The 21,881-nt window shown below is 41.5% G+C and overlaps 1 protein-coding gene and 1 pseudogene across 1 annotated transcript in view, besides 1 other annotated feature; both read right to left on the reverse strand.

Annotated features, from left to right (window-relative positions):
- Positions 1 to 10,456, reverse strand: part of PLPP3 (phospholipid phosphatase 3) — an 84,803-nt gene extending 74,347 nt beyond the window's left edge. The window contains exon 1 of the mRNA NM_003713.5: positions 9,771 to 10,456. Within this exon, the coding sequence (NP_003704.3) occupies positions 9,771 to 9,909 (139 nt within the window). The 5' untranslated portion in view covers positions 9,910 to 10,456. The remainder of the gene's footprint in view (positions 1 to 9,770) is intronic.
- Positions 7,874 to 8,441: an enhancer, noted in NCBI's record as "OCT4-NANOG hESC enhancer chr1:57042654-57043221 (GRCh37/hg19 assembly coordinates)". NCBI's record gives its function as "activates a minimal SCP1, AML or CMV promoter by ChIP-STARR-seq in primed H9 embryonic stem cells {active_cell/tissue: H9 hESC(primed)}" and the evidence as "EXISTENCE:reporter gene assay evidence [ECO:0000049][PMID:30033119]".
- Positions 16,508 to 17,135, reverse strand: RPL23AP85 (ribosomal protein L23a pseudogene 85; annotated as a pseudogene).

Consider the following 21,881-nt stretch of genomic DNA (forward strand, 5'->3'; position numbering starts at 1 on the left):
TGTTCATTCCAAAGGTCTTTTATAAAACTATTGTATTTTTCTTACATACTGTAACTAGCCTTTAGTTTTTTGTTTTTGTTTTTTTGAGATGTAGTCTCACACTGTCACCCGGGCTGGAGTGCAATGGCTCTCTCAGCTCACTGCAACCTCTGCCTCCCAGGTTCAAGTGATTCTCCTGCCTCAGCCTCCTGATTAGCTGGGATTACAGGCGCCTGCCACCACACCTGGCTAATTTTTTGTATTTTTGTTAGAGACGGGGTTTCACTATGTTGGCCAGGCTGGTCTCAAACTCCTGACCTCGTGATCTGCCTGCCTCATCCTCCCAAAGTGCTGGGATTACAGGTGTGAGCCACTGCACCCAGCCGCCTTTAGATATTTCTAAAATGGTGCAGCCACTATGAAAAACAGTTTGGCAGTTCCTCAAAAAGGTAAATGTGGAGTTACCATAGGACCCAGCAATTTCACTCCTAGGTAGTAGGTTTCTCTATGAAATCTTCCAAGATAAAAATAAAAAGAAAAACAAAAAGAAAACTTCATTTGCTCTCCTCGTTCACCAAAATAAAACTCAAATTCCTTAGCTGCCTGCCATACCCAGTCCCCTTTCATAATCTAGCTCTAACCTATCTCTCCAGCCTCATCTCCAATGTCCTCCTTTCTTCCCCCGCACAGTGCAAACACACAATATTGACATTCCAGCCTCCAGCTACTCACTCTTCCCAAATAGGTCCCTGCTTCCAAGTCTCAGCACCTGTGCTTCACTCTGCTGCAATACCTTCTCCCCCTTCCTGGCTTGTGAGCTATTATTTATCTTGCAAGACCCAGCTCCACACCCTCAGGCAAGCTTCATCACTCTTCACTGTGCTGCTAGAGTAGGCCCTCCCTTAAGGCTCCAAAGTCATCACTTATATAGTGTTTGTCATTAGGCAAAAGCCTGTTCCACTTTCACCAGCCTGGGAATTCCTTAAGGCCATGGAAACCCTGGGGCCTGGCATATAGTAGGTGCTCAAGAATCATCTGCAGAAGACAAGGCTTATACCTGAAAGACAGGTACAAACATAGGCTTAATAGGCTCTCTAGAAATTATACTGATTGATACCACAAACTAATTTGGGGGCCAGATATAAAGAAACCATCAATGAGAATGGTTTCCTTCGTGTCAATGTAATAGTGTATTATGTGTTTTAGGGATACATAAACAGGAACCAAAGCACACTACTTATTATGACAAGGCGCTTATAATGATTTGCATTTCTCTGCAAAACTCTTTAGGCATATAATTTTGTTAATTTGTGACAAACCTCAAAAACACACTTACCACCAATACCTTGATTGCAATATATACTTTCAAATCACACAGAAATCAAGTTCCTTTCAAAGGTTTCCAAAAGAGTCTGAAGTGCGTTGTTTTGTTTGGTTTGTTTTAAATTTGGGAATTTAAATGCAGATCATAATTTATAATTTAACCCAGACTTAAGGGAAGAATAATTTCACAAGGATGTTCAAGAACCTGACCTAGCCTTCTTTTGAATGTTGGCACTGACAATGCGTGACCTTGAGAAGTCTGTTTAATCTGAGACTGTTTCATCCTCAGTCACATGGGAATAAGGAGAGTTTGTTGAGAGGCTTTTAAAAAGCAAAAATAAATAAATAAATAATAAAAAGCAAAAACTTTGAAAACATGGAGTCTCTTTTTTCTCCCCTGAGATACATCATTTGAAAAAGGTGGCACCTGTTCCAGCTCAAATCATTCAGCAGTGATCTTGGTAATAAGTACTTTCCTGAAAAAATACCAGTTTGAAGAAAAGTAATATTTCAAAACACTGCCTAGTCCTTCACATTTGTCCCATGTATCTTTGGCTTCACTCAGCTAACATCCACTGATATGGATTAAAAGTTAAACCTGTTTGTCTTGTTCCTTTTTCTACTGACGCACGCAAGAGAGAAAGCTCTCCAGGGAACTCTCCTCATGAATAATATCAAATTTCAAACCAACAAGTCCACATCCGAAAAGCAGAATGGTAGAAAGGCAAGACCTTGGTTCTAGGTCCTCCTCTTTCACTGTCACTGGACAATTACTAACCAACCAAGACCTCTAGTTCCCATTTGTGAACCAAGGGCATTGACTAGGATGTGGTGATGATAATGACTGCAGCAACTACCTCTTGAGTGTCTCTATGCACCAGGCACTGTACTAGGCATGTCCCCACCACGTCACAGTGCACACAGAATCTCATTTCGTAAATGAGGATTTATGAGGCATCACAGAGATCAAGTAAACTTGCTTAAGCTTCTATGGCCAATAATAGTGAGCAGACTCCAGTCTGACTCCAAAGCCCGTGCTATTCCCCTCACACCTCTCTCCCTTCCCCAGCTCAAAAAGGCCTATTTTTCTAACTGACATTAAAAAATGACCTTGGTATCGTTGATAATGAAATCTCCAAGGTACTTCCAAATTCTAAAGATTCCATGAATCTAGGCAATGAGGAATTGCTCCAATGGTATTCTCTTTATTATGTCTACAGAGAAGCTTATTCATCAAGCTTTAAGCTGTTTTGCAATTATTTACATATTACTCTGTCTACTCCACTGCCCAATAATATCCTTAAGACCAAAATAAACAAAATGGAAAGAAATGAAAAAGACTGCTTTGATTGCATTAATTGCAATCAATTAATTGCAAATTGAAAAGTGGGGCAGCAAGGTAACCTGACAAGAGCTCTGGAAAAGTTGGTGACTGCTTTCTAGCTGGGTGCCCTTGTGCAAGTTACTTAACATCTCTGAGCTACAGTTCCCTCTTCTATAAAAGGGATCGTCTCTATACCACATGATTGGCCTGTATAATAAATATGGTAGCCTAGCTCAGTACCTTCCTTCCTCAGCAAATACAGAGGGTCCCCTAGATGACCAGCGTTTCGATCATTTCCAATCATTTCTGGTTTTTTTTTTTTTTTTTTTTTTTTGAGACAGAGTCTCGCTCTATCACCCAGCCTGGAGTGCAGTGGCGTGATCTTGGCTCACTGCAGCCTCTGCCAACTGGGTTCCAGCAATTCTCCTGCCTCAGCCTCCGGAGTAGCTGGGATTACAGGCACACACCACGATGCCCGGCTAATTTTTGTATTTTTAGTAGAGACGGGGTTTCACCATGTTGACCAGGCTAGTCTCGAAATTCTGACCTCAGGTGATCCACCTGCCTCAGCCTCCCAAAGTGCTAGGATTACAGGCGTGAGCCACCACGCCTGGCCTTGCTGTTCTTTTAGTTTGGTTTTCCTCTGGGCTGTTGAATGACAGGAATGACCCAAGTGAGAGTTGACCCTAAAACAGACCACGTGTCTAAATTCTCTCCCACCCTTCCTAAGGCATATCTGTCTTTCTCTCAAGATAATATGGCTTTGTCCCTTTCAAAGGGGAAGAATGCAACCACCAAAGCCTATTGAGGTTCCTGCACTTTGACTTTCCCAGAAAGGGTCAGGAAACCTGCCACTGCTTTTCTTCAGCTAATGGAAAACATTTGTGTCCACTCTGCTTGGTGTTTTCTTGGGATTCTTCTCAGAATCTTTTTCCTTAATATAGTTCAGGCAACTTTGCTGCCAAGAAATAAGAGGATTTTATAGAACCATTGAGGAGTAAGAAAACTGGGAGGAAAATGAAAATTCGACTCTATGAAGAACAACAGCAACTTCATTCCTACCTGATAATGATAACGTGATTTTGAACTTTTCAAAATGCTTTCAGTTTCATTATCTCACCTGGGTTTCACAACAAACAAGTATTACCAGGTTTGCTTATTTTACAGATGAGGAAACTGAAGCCTGGAGGAGGTTAAATAATTTTTGCCCAAAATTACATGCTGGCAAAAGGTGGCTGTTTGCTTTATGTCAGGATTCAAACACAGATTTGGGGAAATCCAAAGCTTGTATTGTTTCTACACTACTTTGCCAAGCTTATTTTATCTTCTAAAGGCTCTATTTAGGAATCTAATTTATTCCTGCTTCACCTTGCACTCATGCACAAACTTCAATATCTCAAAAGAAAATATTTAAAATTAACACCTCATTTATCCAAAGAGTCACATGGCTGGCAACTTCAATTACATAGAGTTCGGTTTACAACCAGAAAATACATAAAGATTTTAGCCTCTTGGCATTAGAAACAACACCAAGTCTTTGCACTGAAAGACACAGGACACCTTCAGGTCTGCATCCAGGGGTAATTTTCCATTCGGAAGAATTCTTGCAAACTTGATTATCTTTACTGAAAAAGACAGGTGCACTGGTCACAAACAAACAAACAAAAAAAGTACAGACAACCTAACAATGCAGAAAATGCCAGAACATTCAGTGCAGGGACAAAAAGCCCACTACATAATTAAATTGCCCTTAAGATATCAGCTGTTAAACAACATAGTGATTCTAAAATTGGCCTGATAAGAATCACCGGCAGCGTTTATAAAACACAGAATCCCAGGTCCTGGCTCAAAGCCAGCTGAATCTGAATATCCTGGAGAAGAGTCCGAGAATCTGTATTTCATACCAGATAGGCCCCATGTTAGGTGAGTTTATGAAATACTGGTGTAATAGGCAACCCCAAAACAAAGTATTACTCCTCACATAACGTGTACTGGATTGAACTGACACACAGGACAGGGTTTCTCCATAAATATAACTGCCTACACAGGGAAGAAGCCCTTGACTATGGTCTCATTAGCATCACGCTGTGACCAACTGGGCTTTCTAGCCCAAACAACTGCACAAGAAAGGGTAAAGGAAGAATCTAAAATTGACAGGTAATCAAAAGGGTTAAAAGCAGAAAAGGGGCCTGGCACGGTGGCTCACACCTGTAATCCCAGCACTTTGGGAGGCTGAAGCGGGCAGATCACAAAGTCAGGAGATCGAGACCATCTTGGCTAACATGGTGAAACCCTGTCTCTACTAAAATACAAAAAATTAGCTAAGCATGGTGGCACGTGCCTGTAGTCCCAGCTACTCAGGAGGCTGAGGCAGGAGAATCGCTTGAATCCGGGAGGCAGAGGTTGCAGCGAGCCAAGATCACGCCATTGCACTCTAGCCTGGGTGACAGAGAAGACTCTGTCTCAAAAAAAAAAAAAAACCCTAACCATTATGGACAGTGAATAAAAGCTTTTAACCATACTAGAAAAGTCAACAGGGCTTACCTACTAAATGATCCTAGGCTGGAGTGCAGTGACACAATCATGGCTCACTGCAGCCTCCAACTCCTAGTCTCAAGGTATCCTCCTGCCTCAGCCTCCCAAGAAGCTGGGCTACAGCTACAGGCTTGCACCACCACGCCCGGTTAATTTTTGATTTTTTTGTAGAGACAAGGTCTCACTATATTGCCCAAGCTGATCTCGAACTCCTTAGCTCAAGTAATCCTCCTGCCTCTGCCTCCCAAAGTGCTGGGATTACAGGAGTAAGCCACTGCACCCAACGAGGCTCTTTTCTTTATTTTAATCTACGAAGGATGGTTGGCTAGGCAATTTACCGGTTGATTAATGAAAATATGTAAATTTCAGGAAGCAGGTGAAAGGACACATCCGGCGTAGGAAAAATCTAGTCAGTTTCTCAACGTATTGCCTTAACCTTAATAAAAGCAGTGCTTACCTCCCCTCCAGAATTAACACCAACTTAAGCTAATTTTCAACATTAATTCTTTGGTCATACATATATAACAATTCAATTAATGACAAATGGTCTAAGAGGGGCAGTGGGTATGTTACTACATCACAATATTTACCAGCCTAGACTTATAAAATTGTTACAGCTAGAAGGACACTGAAAGATGGTCTAGTTCCTTCCCTTTTTCGCAATGGTAAAGAAACTGAGACTCAGAAAATTTAAATGAATTTTTCCAAAGCTGTACAGTGCAGTGGCAGTACAAGACTATAATGACTGTCTCTAGTTTGTGATGATTCACAGAGCTAATATATAATGAAGAGCTCAGCAGAGTAGATGCATAGGGTAGACATTCAGCATATGTCAAGTCTCTAACGTCAAGCCTCTACTAGAAATCGGTCACCGCATGTTTAATGGCAATAATAGACATAATCCCACACAGTCATTTTGCAGGTGGAAAAAAACTGAGACACACAGAAAACCGACTCATCCACACAATGCAACTCGATAGTGGCACTGGCCAACGTGGAACCTGAAGCTTCTGACTCTAAGTGTCTTTTTTGCACTATACCATGCTGCCCCTCTCTCACTATTTAAAGTAAATAATAATAAATGATGACTCTATGTATCCCATATATAGAACCAGTTCTAGAATTTTAGCTCAACCATTTAGTTGGAAATCAAAAAACATCCAAAAACGTGGTGGAGCAACCAAATTAAATAGCACGGTTGCTGACCACCCAAATTCCGTATTACTGACTGGAAGACTGGGACCAACTTTATTTTTCTGCTTTGGTGCAAATGGGTAACTGGGAAATCGGGAGAGGCAGAACTTTCTGCAAACCGAGCTTCAGAATTTTCTGATAAGAACCTGAATTTCAAGATTCTTCAGGTGGGGAAAGGATTCCACTCATGCTAAACTGAGAACTGGGGATCAATTCAAATCGACTTCAGTGTTAGTCTATCCTTCCCTTTTCTGAGACATGGTTTCTGGTTTATAAAATGGAGATAATTTATTCATAGGGGTTGCATTAAAGCATGCATATATGAATTTATATAAAAAAGAGACTAACAGAGCTTAGAAAGACAATAACTGTTCCTCCCTTCTTACCTGGGAATCGTCTGTTGCTCTCCTGTAACCCCATACACCACAATCAATGTACAAAAACCAGGAGGTGATAAATATTACTTAATTAAAAGGAAAACAAAATCAATTTCAGGAAAACTATCACGCAAAGATTCATAACTGTATTTAAAAGCAATTAATCGGTAAAGATAGCTGTCCAATGAAAGGTAAACTCCCACTGGTGTTATTTGACACCAGATTGTCTTGGCTTTCAAACAAGAGTAGACTTCTGCTTTTTCACCAAGAATTTAACGTTCTAAAAAGGTATGTGAAACAAGTTAAACTACTTGCATATTTCCACTTACATAACACTGACATAGCACATCAGCTTTTATTTTTTCCAGATACTAGATGAAGTTTCTTATATATTCCTGTGAGAGAATAAACAGAAAACTGTCTCTCTTCTTAATATATTAGTGCCCTGTAATCCAGACCATATGATCAATAAACTATATAAAAATTAAATTATACTGACGGTCTTAGGCAAAAAGTGGAAACAATTTTTTTTAGGACTGTGGTGTGCGGAATATTAAAATCACATGTTGTGCTATTAATTTTTCTTTTGGAAGCCAAATAGAGTTCTCCTGCATAAATATCTCACCTAAATATTTCTCTTACAAAGAATTTTTCCTGTTAAAGGTGTTTGAGAGACATTTAATTAGTGATATTGTAATTGGCCTGTGCTCAGGGGAAACATTGATCAATAAGTCACTTTGAAAATGTTGCCATGGTTTTAATGGCAAAGCACCCCTGAAAACAAGTAGCTATGTGCCTCTATAACAGAATACATGGTCCTGACGCCTTATTGCTTTTTGGAGATAAACAAAATCATTTTGTTCAAACATAAGACCAACAGTGAATAAATATAATAAACAGGTTAGAATATTAGCTTTGGGGGGACGGGGGATAGTGGGGAAATGAAGAACTGAAACATGCATATGCACACACATGCATGCATGCACACACACCTTTTTTACACCTTCAATGTACAACAGAGTAGCTTGGGTTTTTACATCCCTGGCTAAACTACAGCTGATGGTTGTGTCTTTTTGCAAATTCCTTTACATCTCTTTCCTTTTCACTTTCATAAGACACCATCTCTTGGGACTGCCTTCTAAAATCACAAGGGTGGAAAGGAAATTGTACAAAGGCTGTCAAGCATGTTCTAGCTCTGCTTTCTTAATCACAAAGTAGGAGGTAGGAGGGTATCCTGCACAGGCACTCTAGAAAGAGCTTACCCTGCCACCAACAAAACACACTGAGTAAACACAGGGAGTTCCAGGCAAGTTTACAGCAAACAGCTTCCATGTGTTTAGTGCTTCCTTGTACTCCCCTGGGACCAGAGAGGGTCTTTTAAAAATTCAACAGCTTGATTACAAGACTTTAAGTAGTAATCTGTCCCACTGTGCATGATAATGAGCCAGCTGCCTTCAGGAAGGTAGGCCCCCCAGTGACAATTCCTTTACATAGCATCTTAATGTTGAATTAATGTTGAGAGACGTGGAAATGGGATGTGCCACCTGAACTACAGTGACTTTTCTTCCTTTCCACCCCTCCACCCTTCCACAGAGCACAATTATACCTTCAGCTGTCTCTTCTTACCTGAAGGGGGCCGTTCTTATTTTTAAACTCTAAGAATCCTATCTTTCTTTACTATGGACCATCAAGAGGACACTGCACAGTAAGAGCAGTGCTACAGAAAGAGTCATGAATACCAGAGAGGTATAACTCCAGCCTAAGAAGTCTCTGGTCTGCAAAATCTGCATGGACAAATCCATTTCAAAGGGGACTTAAGTCTGTGCAGGAGCTGTATTTTAAGGGAACTGAATTGGGAACACAGATGTTTCTTCAGTTAGCAGAGTTGGCAGAACAGCTTCTGGACCAAATCCGAGTTCCTAATGCGGGAAGGGGCCTTGGAGAGCATCTACTTCAACCCACTCATTCAACTGCTGAGGAAACTGAGGCCCATGAGGCAGTTAAGTGGCACACCCAGCAAGTGGCAAGAGTGGCAGTGTTCTGATGACAAGTACTGTGCGTTTTCCATTACACCATGATTCGCTTTAAAAAAAAAAAAATCCTAGGCTGACTTCAACCTTGGAAGTCCTGTTCATTCTTGTGAAGCGCTTTCTCCCTCCCCTACCGAGTTCATAAATCCTCCTCGCCCTCCCACTCCAATTCCTTTAACTCCCACCGCTCTTCCAGCTGTGGCTTCCAACGACTTTGGAAAACAGAAGTGGACCATCGCCTCAACTTTCTGGGGGCGCAATTAAATTTGTGGTCCCCAAACAAGATCGCAGCTGGCTTTCCCAGTGCCTCAATGTGCCCATCAGGGAAATGGGGCTCATCACCCCTGCTGCACCGAGTCAGAGAGTGGGCGAGCTAAAACTGATGCCCCTGAAGCCGCCTACCACCTGGCACACAGTAGGCACTCAAGTGATTGCTGAAGCCGTGCCCAGCACCAAGCCCGGGGAAAGCACCTACAGGAGAGGAGCAAGTGAAAAGGCCGGCTAGCCAGTCTGGCGAGCCTGGGCAGCAAAGGCGGAAGGGCTGGATGTTTACATACAGCCGCCGGGAAGGCAGCTCGGCTCCAGGCAGGAGCCCGACTCTCGGGGCGATCCATTTCACTCGGATGGAGGGCGACCAGCTAGCTATACGCTGGCTCTAGAGCGCGGCTCAACCAACTTCCCCTACGCTAAAAGGACGAACCCACACCTTCCGCGGGATTCCGCCCGGGCTTCCAACGTGGAGACGACTTTTACTGAGCTGGTTTAACAGTTGCCCACGAACGCTTAAGCACGCCCAGACCCACTCAAGTACAGGCCAAGAAGTCGGTGGGATCGGGGAGGGCGGGGGCTTCGGGCCTGGGCGGCGCAAAGGCTCCCCAGGAAGGCTGCGGGGGCCCCCCGGAGCTGACGGCGCGGCGCGGCGCGGCGCTGCGCGGCCCCGGACTGGGCTGGGACGCGCGCCGAGGGACGAGGGGCCGAGGGGCCGAGGGACAGCGGGGCTGGGCTCACCCATGAAGAGGCAGAAGAGGTCGAGGCAGATGAGCAGCACCCGCTTGCTGCCGCTCCTCCTCGGGTTGTTGTTGAGCGCCGGGCTGCCGCCGTTCTTGCTCTCCGGGACGATCGCTTTGTCGTACTTGTAGTTTTGCATGGCGCTGGCTGCGGCGCGAGCCTCCCGCCCCGCGAAGACGTCCCGCAACAGCAGCCACACACCCAGGCGCCCGGGTCGCCTCCTGGCCGAGGCTGCTGCGGATAGTGGCGGGTCGGCCCCGGCTCCGGGCGCGGCGGCTAGAGTGCAGCCGGGGCTGCCTGCCTCCAACTGCAGAAGGTGGTGTTTTCTGCTCCTCCTGCGCGCCTCTGCTTTCCTCTGTCAACCCTAAATCGTTCTAAAGTCCAAGGGGAAGAGAGCCAGATCCCGAGCAGAAACTTTTGCAGAGCTGCGCAGCTTGGGGCGCGCTGTTGTGGCGCGCGTCTGAGTGCGCGAGCGAGCGAGTGGGCAGCGCGGGCGCTCGGCCACCTTCCTCCGCAGCTGGTTCCTTAATGAATGGGAGCTGCGCTGAGCCCAGCAACTCCGGAGCGCCAGCCCCAACTCTAACTTTGCCTCCTCCTCCTCCTCCTCCTCCGGCTCCTCCTGCTCCTCCTGCTGTTGGTGCTGCTGCCGCGGCGGCTGCTGCTGTGATCGCCTGGGTTTGTTTTCTGCACTTTTATTTCACGAGGTCCTTTAAAAAGAGAAGACGTGGGGGGAGAGAGAGAGAGGGACCTCCTTACTTGGCTCGGATGGGATTCCGAAAGCACAGCCCCTTCCTTAAGCTGCCTAAGACGTAGGATAATTAAGGCCACATTTTCCCCCACCCCCTTCAAAAAAAAAAAAAAAAGTCCTAAAAGGAAAAGTTACTCTCAAACCAGAGAAACCGGGAGCCCCTAGCGTTCAGAAACACCAAATTGTCACCAAAGAAAAAATATATATAAATAAAAAGAAACATTTTCTTGCTGGCCTTGGGTCAAGTAAAAGTTAGGGCTGTACAGCTAAAATGCATTTTTCCTCACCTACAAACCTGAGGCTTTCAGGTCTTTATTGTGACTTGAATTGTATTACCCTGAAAATATAATTTTTAAGGAAAACAAGTTGTTTGTTTGTTTAAGATCTTAACATCCAACACCGGGTACTACGCTAGATTTTGAGAATACTAAAATGAAAAAGACTGCACGACTGTGGAACCACATCTCCTGGATTTCAATCCTGTGACTCTGTGCCTCAGTTTCCCCGTATGTAACTAGAGATAACTGTTCCTTTTCATATAGGGTGGTTGTGAAGACTTAATTTGTTAATCCGTATAAGCTCCTAGAACAGTGCCCAGTACATAGGAAGTGCTCTGTGAGGGTTAGCAATTACCTTTTTTCTGGGTGAAGGAGTCTCAGGCAACCCCTCTCTTGGCCCCAAGAGTAATTCTACTACTATGGGGAATTCCAGGGCAGCCAAAATGCTCTCTGCTTGAGTTTCAGACAATCTAACATTTTTCCTTAGAGGCTGGCATCTTATTTTTAATTATTTTATGTGAGTTAATCTTTTTTCCAGATAGAGAATAAACATTTCCAGGGCAAGGGCCTTCCCTTGTATCTTCTATAGTGCCTAGCATGGACCTGGGCACAGTGGACAATAAATGGATGTTTTTTCCAGGTGGTTCTTTGTGTGCATTCAGAAATGGAAATATTTGTAGCTTTTTGATACATTATATGAATCATGTTCTTTCTTACACTGACTTGTTTTGGGTTTTGATAACTTTATATGCAGCCACCATCAACCCTTTCTGGTACAATTGCCCTTTCTGGTACAATCCTTTCACACTCCACACCCCTGCTCTCCTGCACGCTCTGCCTATAATGCATACCCTTTCCTCCTCTAGTTAGGGAAATGCTTCTCTTGCTTTAGTATCCTCTGAAATGTCACCTCCTCTCTGAGTACTTTCTTCATTCCTGCACAGAATTAACTTCACTGTCAACTCTTTGCTTCTAACTATTTTTTTTTCCCCCGAGATGGCGTCTCACTCTATCGCCCAGGCTGGAGTGCAGTGCCTCAATCTTGGCTCACTGCAATCTCCGCCTCCCGGATTCAAAGGATTCTCTTGCCTCAGCCTCCTGAGTAGCTGAGATTACAGGCTCGTGCCACCACACACGGCTATTTTTGTATTTTTAGTAGAGATGGGGCTTCACCATGTTGGTCAGGCTGGTCTCAAATTCCTGACGTCATGATCGCCTGCCTCGGCCTCCCAAAGTGCTAGGATTACAGGCATGAGCCTATGTCAGCCTGATTTGGTGTTACAGATGGTAAAGACTAGCAAACTGTGTAGGTTATCAGCGCCGCGGCATCTCTCTAGTACCTAGCACGGGATTTGCTGTGTACTGAATTAAGCTCAAGTTAGCACCGGTTAGTAAGTGGGGCTTGCAAAGAAAGACAACATTGCTATCTTCTGGAAGCAAGAAGATCTGACTCTCCCAAGAAGTTTTGGAGCTGAAGCATCCAACTGCAAATCACACACAGCACTCTCAATTCAAATAGCACAGGTAAAAGCCAGGGTAGTTCAGAAGGCAGATGCTTGAGATAGCTTTTTCTTGAGAAACACCTTCTCTTGAAAAGTTAAAAGAGTGGAAACAAAACAAGGCCAGGTTCATAATTACTGACATTCTAAGAGGAATTCAGGATTCCAGGGTCTTTGCCTACTCAATTGTCTTTGTAATTATAGTCATCTTTGAAATTCTTAGTCACCAAACCATGCTTTTGGAATTCCAATCTAAAAGCAAGCTTTCTTGAAACTGCAGGCCTCTCTGATCTTTCCCTCCTTGGAGCTCTAAAAGACCTTGAGTAGATACTCAAGGTCTTATTCCACTGGACACGGCCCTATCTGATTACTTCACTTTGCAAATCATGAAATTACTTGCAAAGTGAAATAATAAGACAGGGTCATGTGCAGTGGAATATAGTGGCTTGTCTTACTTGCAAGTGGTCATAATTTGTCCCTCAAACATTGTTAGCTCCATGAGGCGAGAGCCTTGACCTTAATACCACAATCAATAATGGTGAAATCCTAAGTCAAAGAAAGAAATAGTAACTACATGAATTTTATAGGTACCTCCCTGTATGTTTCCTGTCTGCTTTTCCTTATCTGTGAAATGACTTTTATTAATTTAAGAATACACATATTTTTAAAAGTCAGACTGGCTGGGCGCAGTGGCTCACGCCTATAATCGTAGCTCTTTGGGAGGCCAAGACAGGCAGATGGCTTGAGGCCAGGACTCCAAGATCAGCCTGGCCAACATGGTGAAACCCCATCTCTACTAAAAATACTGGTGTGGTGGTACAGACCCATAGTCCCAGCTACTCCCTGAGGCTGAGACACGAGAATTGCTTGAACTGGGCAGGTGGATGTTGCAGTGAGCCCAGATCATGCCACTGCACTCCAGTCTGAGCAACAGAGGGAGACTCTGTCTCAAAAAGCCTGTTATTCCAAAAGCAGATAAAAGGGATAATAAATGGATGTTTAAATAAGACTTTTATATTTCCATTTATAAGGCTCTGTGGGCTATTTTTCCATAACTAAAAGATCATAGTGTTAATTGATGTATGTAGTTCTATGCAAACAGGTATTATATTTGGGTAACTCTTCAAAGGACCGCTACAAATACTTGTTATTATAAAACTGATTTGAACAAGTAATAAAATATAGTGTCAACATATTTCTTTAGATAATGGGAAATAAAGCAGCTAACCAGACATATAAACTTGAAGGCCTCTTTGCCTTAAACCCTAAAGTTGAATAATCTTACCAGCAAATAAATTGCAATAAAACAGACTTGATAATTTAGAATGGTGTCATTTCAAGGTAATTAAGTAATTAGAATTTCTGGCAAACAAACTTACCAAAATTCACACATCAAAATGACATCCAGTTCATTAAATTGGTCTGTATAAAAACTATAATATCAGCAGGGATAAATGCCTTTTTAAGATTGACTTATTGTGTGTGACAACAACAGCACATCATTCTTACATAACTGATACCTCCCAACATTTAAATGGCCTTCATTTCTAAGATCTCTCGTTACCTCATAATTTTCTTTCTCTCTCTTTTTGACTCCCAATATTTAATAATTAATTATTTTTAGTTTTGAAAAGGTATGAATTGGCTCTAGAAATATTGAAGAGGAAAGTAGCTGAGTCCCTTTTATATAAAATTGTATGGTCAAAAAGTAAGAGCCTAAGTTTCTTAAGCCATTGAAGTTAACTTAAGAAGACATAGACATTTTGACTAAGAAGAGTCTGTTTATCCAGATTCTTCCAAACTGTTATATTCATATTCCACCTCTGGTTTTTACTAAACAAAAATTGCTAGCTTGCTGCTATAAGTGTTGGATTTGATATCACGAGTGCTTCCAGAGGACTGAATGGAAACATCTACCGTAATACTCCTGAGAAAAGGCAGGAAGGGGCAGGGGATTAGCAGAAGGGTTTCTGCTGTTTGACCTGAGGCAAGCTGAATAACCTCCCTGAACCTCAGTTTCCTCAACTTTTAAATGGGGCTGACATTTTCTGTAGTTGTGAGGAGGGTTTAAAAGTATAAAATGAAATAATACATTTGAAAATGCTTGGTACACAATAGGCAATCAATAAATATTAGTTGAATGTTAATTTTGTTTTTTCTTTGAGATAGAGTCTTGCTCTGCCACCCGGGCTGGAGTGCAGTGGCGCGATCTCAGCTCACTGCAGCCCTCCTGAGTTCAAGCGATTCTCGTGCCACAGCTGGGATTACAGGCATGGCCACCAAGCCTGGCTAATTTTTGTATTTTTAGTACAGACGGGGTTTCACCATGTTGGCCAGGCTAGTCTTGAACTCCTGTCCTCAAATGGTCCGCCCACCTTGGCCTCCCAAAGTGCTGGGATTATAGGCGTGAACCACTGCGTCTGGCAAGTTGAATGTTAATATTTTCAATGAACACTTTATTTCTACAAAATACCTCATTTAAATACAGCTATTTAAAAAGCATTTATCAAGTACCACCTTGAATATAACCATTTAATTGTAGTCATCCTTCCCTGAATAAAATAACATCTTCAGCCTCTCAACTCCTGTCTTTTTAAAATATGCAATTTCTTGAGGTTTCAGAAAGTATTAATTCAAAATACTTATTTTCTTGAACGATTTACTTATATGTTGTTTTCTTCAGGATTGTTTGTGAAATCTAAGAAAAGCCATTTGCTTAAGCTAATAATCTTGTGAGAGTACAAGTGAAAGTACTTTCATTTTAAAAGCACTTTCACATCTATTATCTTATTTTTATCTTTACAACTCACTGAAGTAGGTGGAGTTGCTATCATTAGTCCCATTTTACAGATGAGAAAACTGAGGCAAGCTCACTTAACTGGATAGAACTGGTTTTCCCCATAGGTAAAATGAAAATGATTCTAACATTAGCTCATGCAGGGTGAAGTGTATAATGCTTTACAGTTTATAATATTTATAATACAGTTATACCCCTTACAGTTTATAATGCTATTTACATTCACTGATCTTGTTTCCGAATAGGTAAGGCAGAGATTATTATCCTTGTTTTAGAATAAGGAAATTGAATCTTGGAAAGATAGGAGATTTGATTAAAGTTGGTGGTGAGGAGATTCCTGAAGAGCCACTGGAATCCAGGTCTCTTAATTTCTAAACTAAGGTTTTTTTCTTTACCCCACAAGGTCTCACACTCAAAGGTGCTCAGAAATTTCTGCTGTTCAACAGTGAATTCACAGAGTAACTTAGAGGGACTGAAGAATTAGCTTCATGTCTTTAGTAAAGAGACAGAGGGGAAGTTGTATTTTGTTTGTAATTTCTTACAGGCTTGGAAGGGAACAACATTGTTGCACCTTGTGTCTCTGAAACACATTTGGCTTCATAATTTGTCAAGCAGTTTTTTTGTTACAAAAAGGGAGCTTTAAGAACACAAAATCGTAGTGGTACTGGAAAGCAGTCTTGGATTCATGTCAACATTTTTACCCTTTTACAAGTAGTAATCTTTTCTTAGCTAGAAATTAGAGCAGTTAAGAGCTAATCTTATGGTAATTCAAACAGTTAATGTTGTTCATTAAAAAAAAAATTAGAACGGATGGAGGAACTTGCAAATAAAGATGCTTCAGAGAATTTCCAAAACTGGTCAACTAGAGCTTGGCTGATAACTTAAAAGGAGAGTGATGCTGCCATCTTGTGTCATTATAGGAAAGTGCCATGGCTCCCAAAGTGAAAATGGCAGTAATTGGGGGATGGGGAATGATTGAAATGGGAATTAAGAACTTTTATAGCAAACATAAAATAATAGCCAACAGCGATTCGATTTTGACTATCCTAATATTGGTTATTCATTCAATAGAAATTTATTGAGCATCTGCTATGTACCAAACACTCTTCTATAAGCTAGGGATATGGCAATGAATAAAACAAAAATTCCTGTCCTCATTGAACCTTTAGGCTTTAATTATTCGATACGTGTTAACTCCTTTAATATTCCAAGCATCCCTGTAAGGAAGGTTTTTTCATTTTACAGATGAGGCTACTGGGGCACAGGAAAGTTAAGTAACTTTAACTGCCAGGTGATAGAGCCTGGATTTGAACCCAGGCAGTCTGAGATAGGAGCCATCAAGTCTTTATTACTATTACTTTTAAATGATTATTTTTCTGGTGAATATTTAGAATTAGCCAGCTGGACTCAGCTTAGATGATCCCAGTTTTGTTGGCCACATCCGAAACGTAAATCAGGAGGCAATTGAACATATGTGTTCTCTCCACCAGGCCTGATCAGGGTGTTGACCTTGGCCACATCAGGGTCATAGAGCTCCTTCATAGCCTGTTTGATCTGGTGCTTGTTTGTTGGCCTTGATATCCACAATGAACCCAAGTGTATAATTGTTTCCTTTTTCGTTTTTGCACATTACTTCCTTTATAGTTTATCATGAAGACTTTCAAATATACAGAAAAGTTGAAAATAATTTACCATGAGCATTTATATGCCCACTCCCTAGAATCCACCATTAATACTTTATTCTACTTGTTTTATCACATATCTATCATTCTGTTATCCATCAATCCATCTCGATTGTCATGTTGTTTTCTATCTTCTTCATAGCAGACTCAGTGGTCAGTGGAACTGATGAGGCAGAGTGAGTAAGCTTGTTTCTCCTGGGGGTGCTCATCCAAGGATATTTGGGCTGCTTCCACAACCACAGTGCCTTGGGCCACCAGAAAGAGGGTGCCATATGGATCTTTTTTTTTTTGTGGCCAAAGCCTTTGTTTTGGCATCAGCTTCGGTGGGGGCAGGAGCTTCCTTCTTCATCTTCAGCGCCATCTTGTGAAAAGGCTAAGATGTTAATAATTAATCTGTAATGAATAAACTTTGTCTGTGTAAGGCAGCAGCCCCCAACCTTTTTGGCATCAGGGACTGGTTTTTTGGAAGGTAATTTTTCCGTGGACCGGGGAGGGGAGTGGGGGGATGGTTTCAGGATAATTCAAGCACATTACATTTATTGTGCACTTTATTTCTATTATTATTACATTGTAATATATAATGAAATAATTATACAGCTCACCATAATGTAGAATCAGTGGGACCCCTGAGTTTGTTTTCCTGTGACTAGATGGTCCCATTTGGGAGTGATGGGAGACAGTGACAGATCATCAGGCATTAGATTCTCCTCCTTGCAAGCGCAGTTCACAGTAGGGTTTGTGCTCTTATGAGGATCTGATGCCATCGATGATCTGACAGGAGGCAGAGCTCAGGCAGTAATGCGAGCTATGGGGAGCAGCTGTAAATACAGATGAAGCTTTGTTCGCTGGCTGGTGGCTCACCTCCTGCTATGCAGCCCAGTTCCTAACAGGCCACGCACCACTACTGATCTGTGGCCTGGGGGTTGGGGAAGCCTAGTCTAAGGCACACAGGAGAAAGATTAGTGGTTTCTGAAGTGGTACTTTAATTGTGTGCATCTGGGAGAAAAGAGCAGAAGGTTGTTTGTGTGCATGATGTGCACATATATATATAAACATTTATGCATTTATTCACCGAATTCAAATATATGTATATATATACACTCACTGTATACATATGTGTATATTTATTCAATATATATGTGTATTTACTTGCTCATTTAATCATTCATCAAATTTCATGATCACCTTTTCTATGCTAGGATTTATGCTAGGTGCTGGAGATAATCAAATTAATGCTTATGGCTTCTTTCTTCAAATGACTAATTTTTAGAAAAACATGTGAACAGGGCCAGGTGTGGTGGCTCACACCTGTAATCCCAGCACTTTGGGAGGCCAAAGCGGGTGGGCGAATCATGACGTCAGGAGTTTGAGACCAGCATGGCCAACATGGTGAAACCCTGTCTCTACTAAAAATACAAAAAATTAGTTGGGTGTGGTGGCAGGCGCCTGTAATCCCAGCTACTTGGGAGGCTGAGGCAGGAGAATCACTTGAACCCAGGAGGCAGAGGTTGCAGTGAGCCGAGATCACGCCACTGCACTCCAGCCCAGGGATAGTGCAAGACTCTGTCTCAAAAAAAAAAAGAAAAACATGTGAACCAATACTTGCAATATTATCATATTTCATTGTAAAGTTTAAATTGTTTTCTTCAAAAAACTATAATTTTCTTCATGAAATTTGATGAAATCATGAAATTTGATGAATGATTAAATGAGCAAGTAAATACACATATCTTCAGACACAAACCATACCATGTTCCTAACATGGTACATAATAATAAGGCTTCAAAAAGTAGTTGTTGAAAGAATGACTAGAGGAAAGTTACAAGCACAAGGTAAGGGTATCAGGGAAAGCTTCAACGAACAGATAAGTCATAGTTGCATAATAAAATTGAAAAAGATGTATAATAACTTAAGTACATAGAAGCACATGTGTGAAACCTGTATTTTACATCATTCATAACACCTAATCCCAGATGGATCATAGACATAAACATGAATAATAAAATGAAACTTCTAGAATAAGATGAAGGATAATATATTCATGATTTTGGGATAGGCAAACATTTCTTAAATAGTAATAAAAAAGCATTGATGACAAAAGAAGAAACGGATAAACTGAAATTCATTAAAATTCATAATTTGTATTTATAAAATACACCAGAGCTGCCAAACTATGGACTGTGTATTAGTCTGTTCTCCCGCTGCTATAAGGATATACCCAAGACTGAGTAATTTATAAAGGAAAGAGGTTTAATTGACTCACAGTTCCACAGGGCTGGGGAGGCCTCAGGAAACTTCTAATCATGGCTTAAGGGGAAGCAAACACGTCCTTCTTCACATGGTGGCAGCAAGGAGAAGTGCAGAGCAAGTGGAGGGGGTGGTGAAGCTCCTTATAAAACTATCAGATCTTGTGAGAACTAACTCACTATCACGAGAACAGGATGGAGGAAACCGCTTCCACGATTCAGTTATCTCCACCTGGTACCTCCCATGACACATGGGGGTTATGGGAATTACAATTCAAAATAAGATTTAGGTGGGGACATAGCCCAACCATATCAGACTATAAACTTAATCCAGCCTGTCAAGTGTTTTTGTACAATATGTGAGCTAAGAATAATTATTAAATTTTTACATGGCCGAAAAACAATCAAAAGAAGAATGATAAAGTTTTTGCTTATTCAGTAAACGTATTGTGTGTAGCTGCTTTTGCACTAAATGGCATAGCTGACTAGTTGCAAAAGAGACCACATGACCTGCAAAACCTAAAATATTTATTATTTGGCTCTTTACAAAAAAAGTTTGACCCCTAAAACATAAAATTAAGAAAATGAAAAGGTAAGCCGCAGATTGGAACAATACATGGCCAAAAAGGATATTCACTAAAAGGATGTATATTCAGAGTATGTAAAAGAACTCCTACAAACCGATAAGAAAAAGACAGACAAGCAAAGATGTGGTCTTTTTTTTTTTTTAAAAAAAAGGGGGGGGCAAAATTCTTGAATAGGCAGTTAACAAAAGAGGATATACAAGTGACCGATACACATATGACAAAGTGCTCAACATCATTAGTCATTAGGGAAATGCAAATTAAAACCACAATGAAATACCACTCCACACCAATATATACCCATCAGAATGGCTAACGTTTGGAAGCTTGACAATATCAAATGGTGAAGATATGGACCAACTGGAGAGATAATTGGTATAGCTACTTTGGAAAACTCTTGGGTAAAATCTACTAAAACCAAACCTATGTCTATTCGATGGCCCAGTAATTCCACTTCTAGGGATACGGCCATCAAAAATGATGACATTTGTCTACCAAAAGACTTGTACAATAAGGTTCATAGCAGCTTTATTCATGATAACTCACAAATGGAAACAACAGAAATTAGAATAAATATATATCATACAGTGATACGCAGTGAAATACTATGCAGTACTGAAAAAAGTAAACCACTGCTACACAAAAGGGCTTGGATGCATCTTTCAGACATATGTCAAAAAAAAAAAAAGAAATTTACACAGGAGTGCATACTATGTGGTCACCTTTGGGGAAGGGATTGTTAAGTGGGAAGAAGCCTTCTGAATGTTTGATTTGAATGATGATTACATGGTTAAACAGATATGTAAAAACAGTGTGAGATTAATATGTGAACATAAAGCTTTTGTACCGATTGCACGTATGTTATACTGCAACAAAGATTTAAACAGTCAAAAAGTAGAAAAAGTATAAATGAAAGTATGAATAAGGATGGCAACATAACTTAGCTATGTATGGTATGAATGGGAAAAGGGGTAAACAGAAGAATTTGTTCAATTTTCCAAATTGTGAACATTGGTTATATTTATCCATTTCCTGTTTGGCCAACAGAGAAATAATTATTCTGAAATTTTAACGTACTTACTCATTGCAATTCCCGAACAGATGCCAACATGATTTTGTCCTTGAACCATATTAATGGCTGTGGCCATATGAAAGTCTCTATCTCAGATAATTCTCAGTCATCTACCTCACTTATGTCTGTATAGACACTCCAAGAAAGAGAAAGAGAGAGAGAGGGAGGAAGGGAGGGAGAGAGAGAGAGAGGGAGAAAAGAAACAAGAAAAGAAAAGAAAAAACTTTTCTCAAAGACAACTTTTCAACTTAGAGAAAAAAGATGAGGAACGTGAGAAAGTCCATAACATGGACAAAGAAGAACTGAAACGCCTTTATTGAGTGTAGTGGATTGAATGGTAGCCCCCCAAATGATCTATTCATATCCTAATGGCCAGAATCTGTGACTATGACCTTATTTGGAAATGAGTCATTGCAGATGTAATTAAATTAAGGATTTTTTTTTTTTTTTTTGAGACGGAGGCTAGCTCTGACGCCCAGGCCGGAGTACAGCGGTGCGATCTTGGCTCACTGCAACTTTTGTCTCCTGGGTTCAAGCGATTCTCCTTTCTCAGCCTCCCGAGTAGCTGGGACTACAGGTGCGTGCCACCACGCCCAGCTAATTTTTTGTATTTTAAGTAGGGACGGGGTTTCACCGTGTTAGCCAGGATGGTCTTGATCTCCTGACCTTGTGATCCACCCGCCTCAGCCTCCCAAAGCACTGGGATTATAGGCATGAGCCACTGCGCCTGGCTTAAGGATCTTTAGATGTGATCATCCTGAATTACTCAGGTGGACCCTAAATCCAAGGATAAGTGTCCTTATAAGAGACAGAAGAGAAGACATGGGCACACAAAGAAGGCCATGTAAAGACAGAGGCAGAGATTGGAGAGATGCAGCCAGAAATGCTGATGCAACCCCCGGAAGCTGAAATTGGCAAGGAATGAGCCCTTTCCAGAAGTTCCCTGGAGGAATGTGGCCCTGCTGGATTTTGGACTGCTGGCCTCCAGAACTGTAAGATAACATATTTCTGTTGTTGTAAGTTACCCAACTTGTGGTAATTTGTTACAGCAGCCCTAGAAACTAATACTAAGAACATTACCTTCCTCAGCCCGGTGAAACTTTTCTATTTCTTTAAATTTTGGAGGATGGGAAAATGGGATTCAGAATGACAGAGATACAATGAGCAGGGCCTTTGCACGAAATGTTCCCTCTGTTGGAGTGCTC

This window comes from Homo sapiens, chromosome 1, assembly GCF_000001405.40.
Source record: "Homo sapiens chromosome 1, GRCh38.p14 Primary Assembly".
Taxonomy (NCBI): Eukaryota; Metazoa; Chordata; class Mammalia; order Primates; family Hominidae; genus Homo; species Homo sapiens.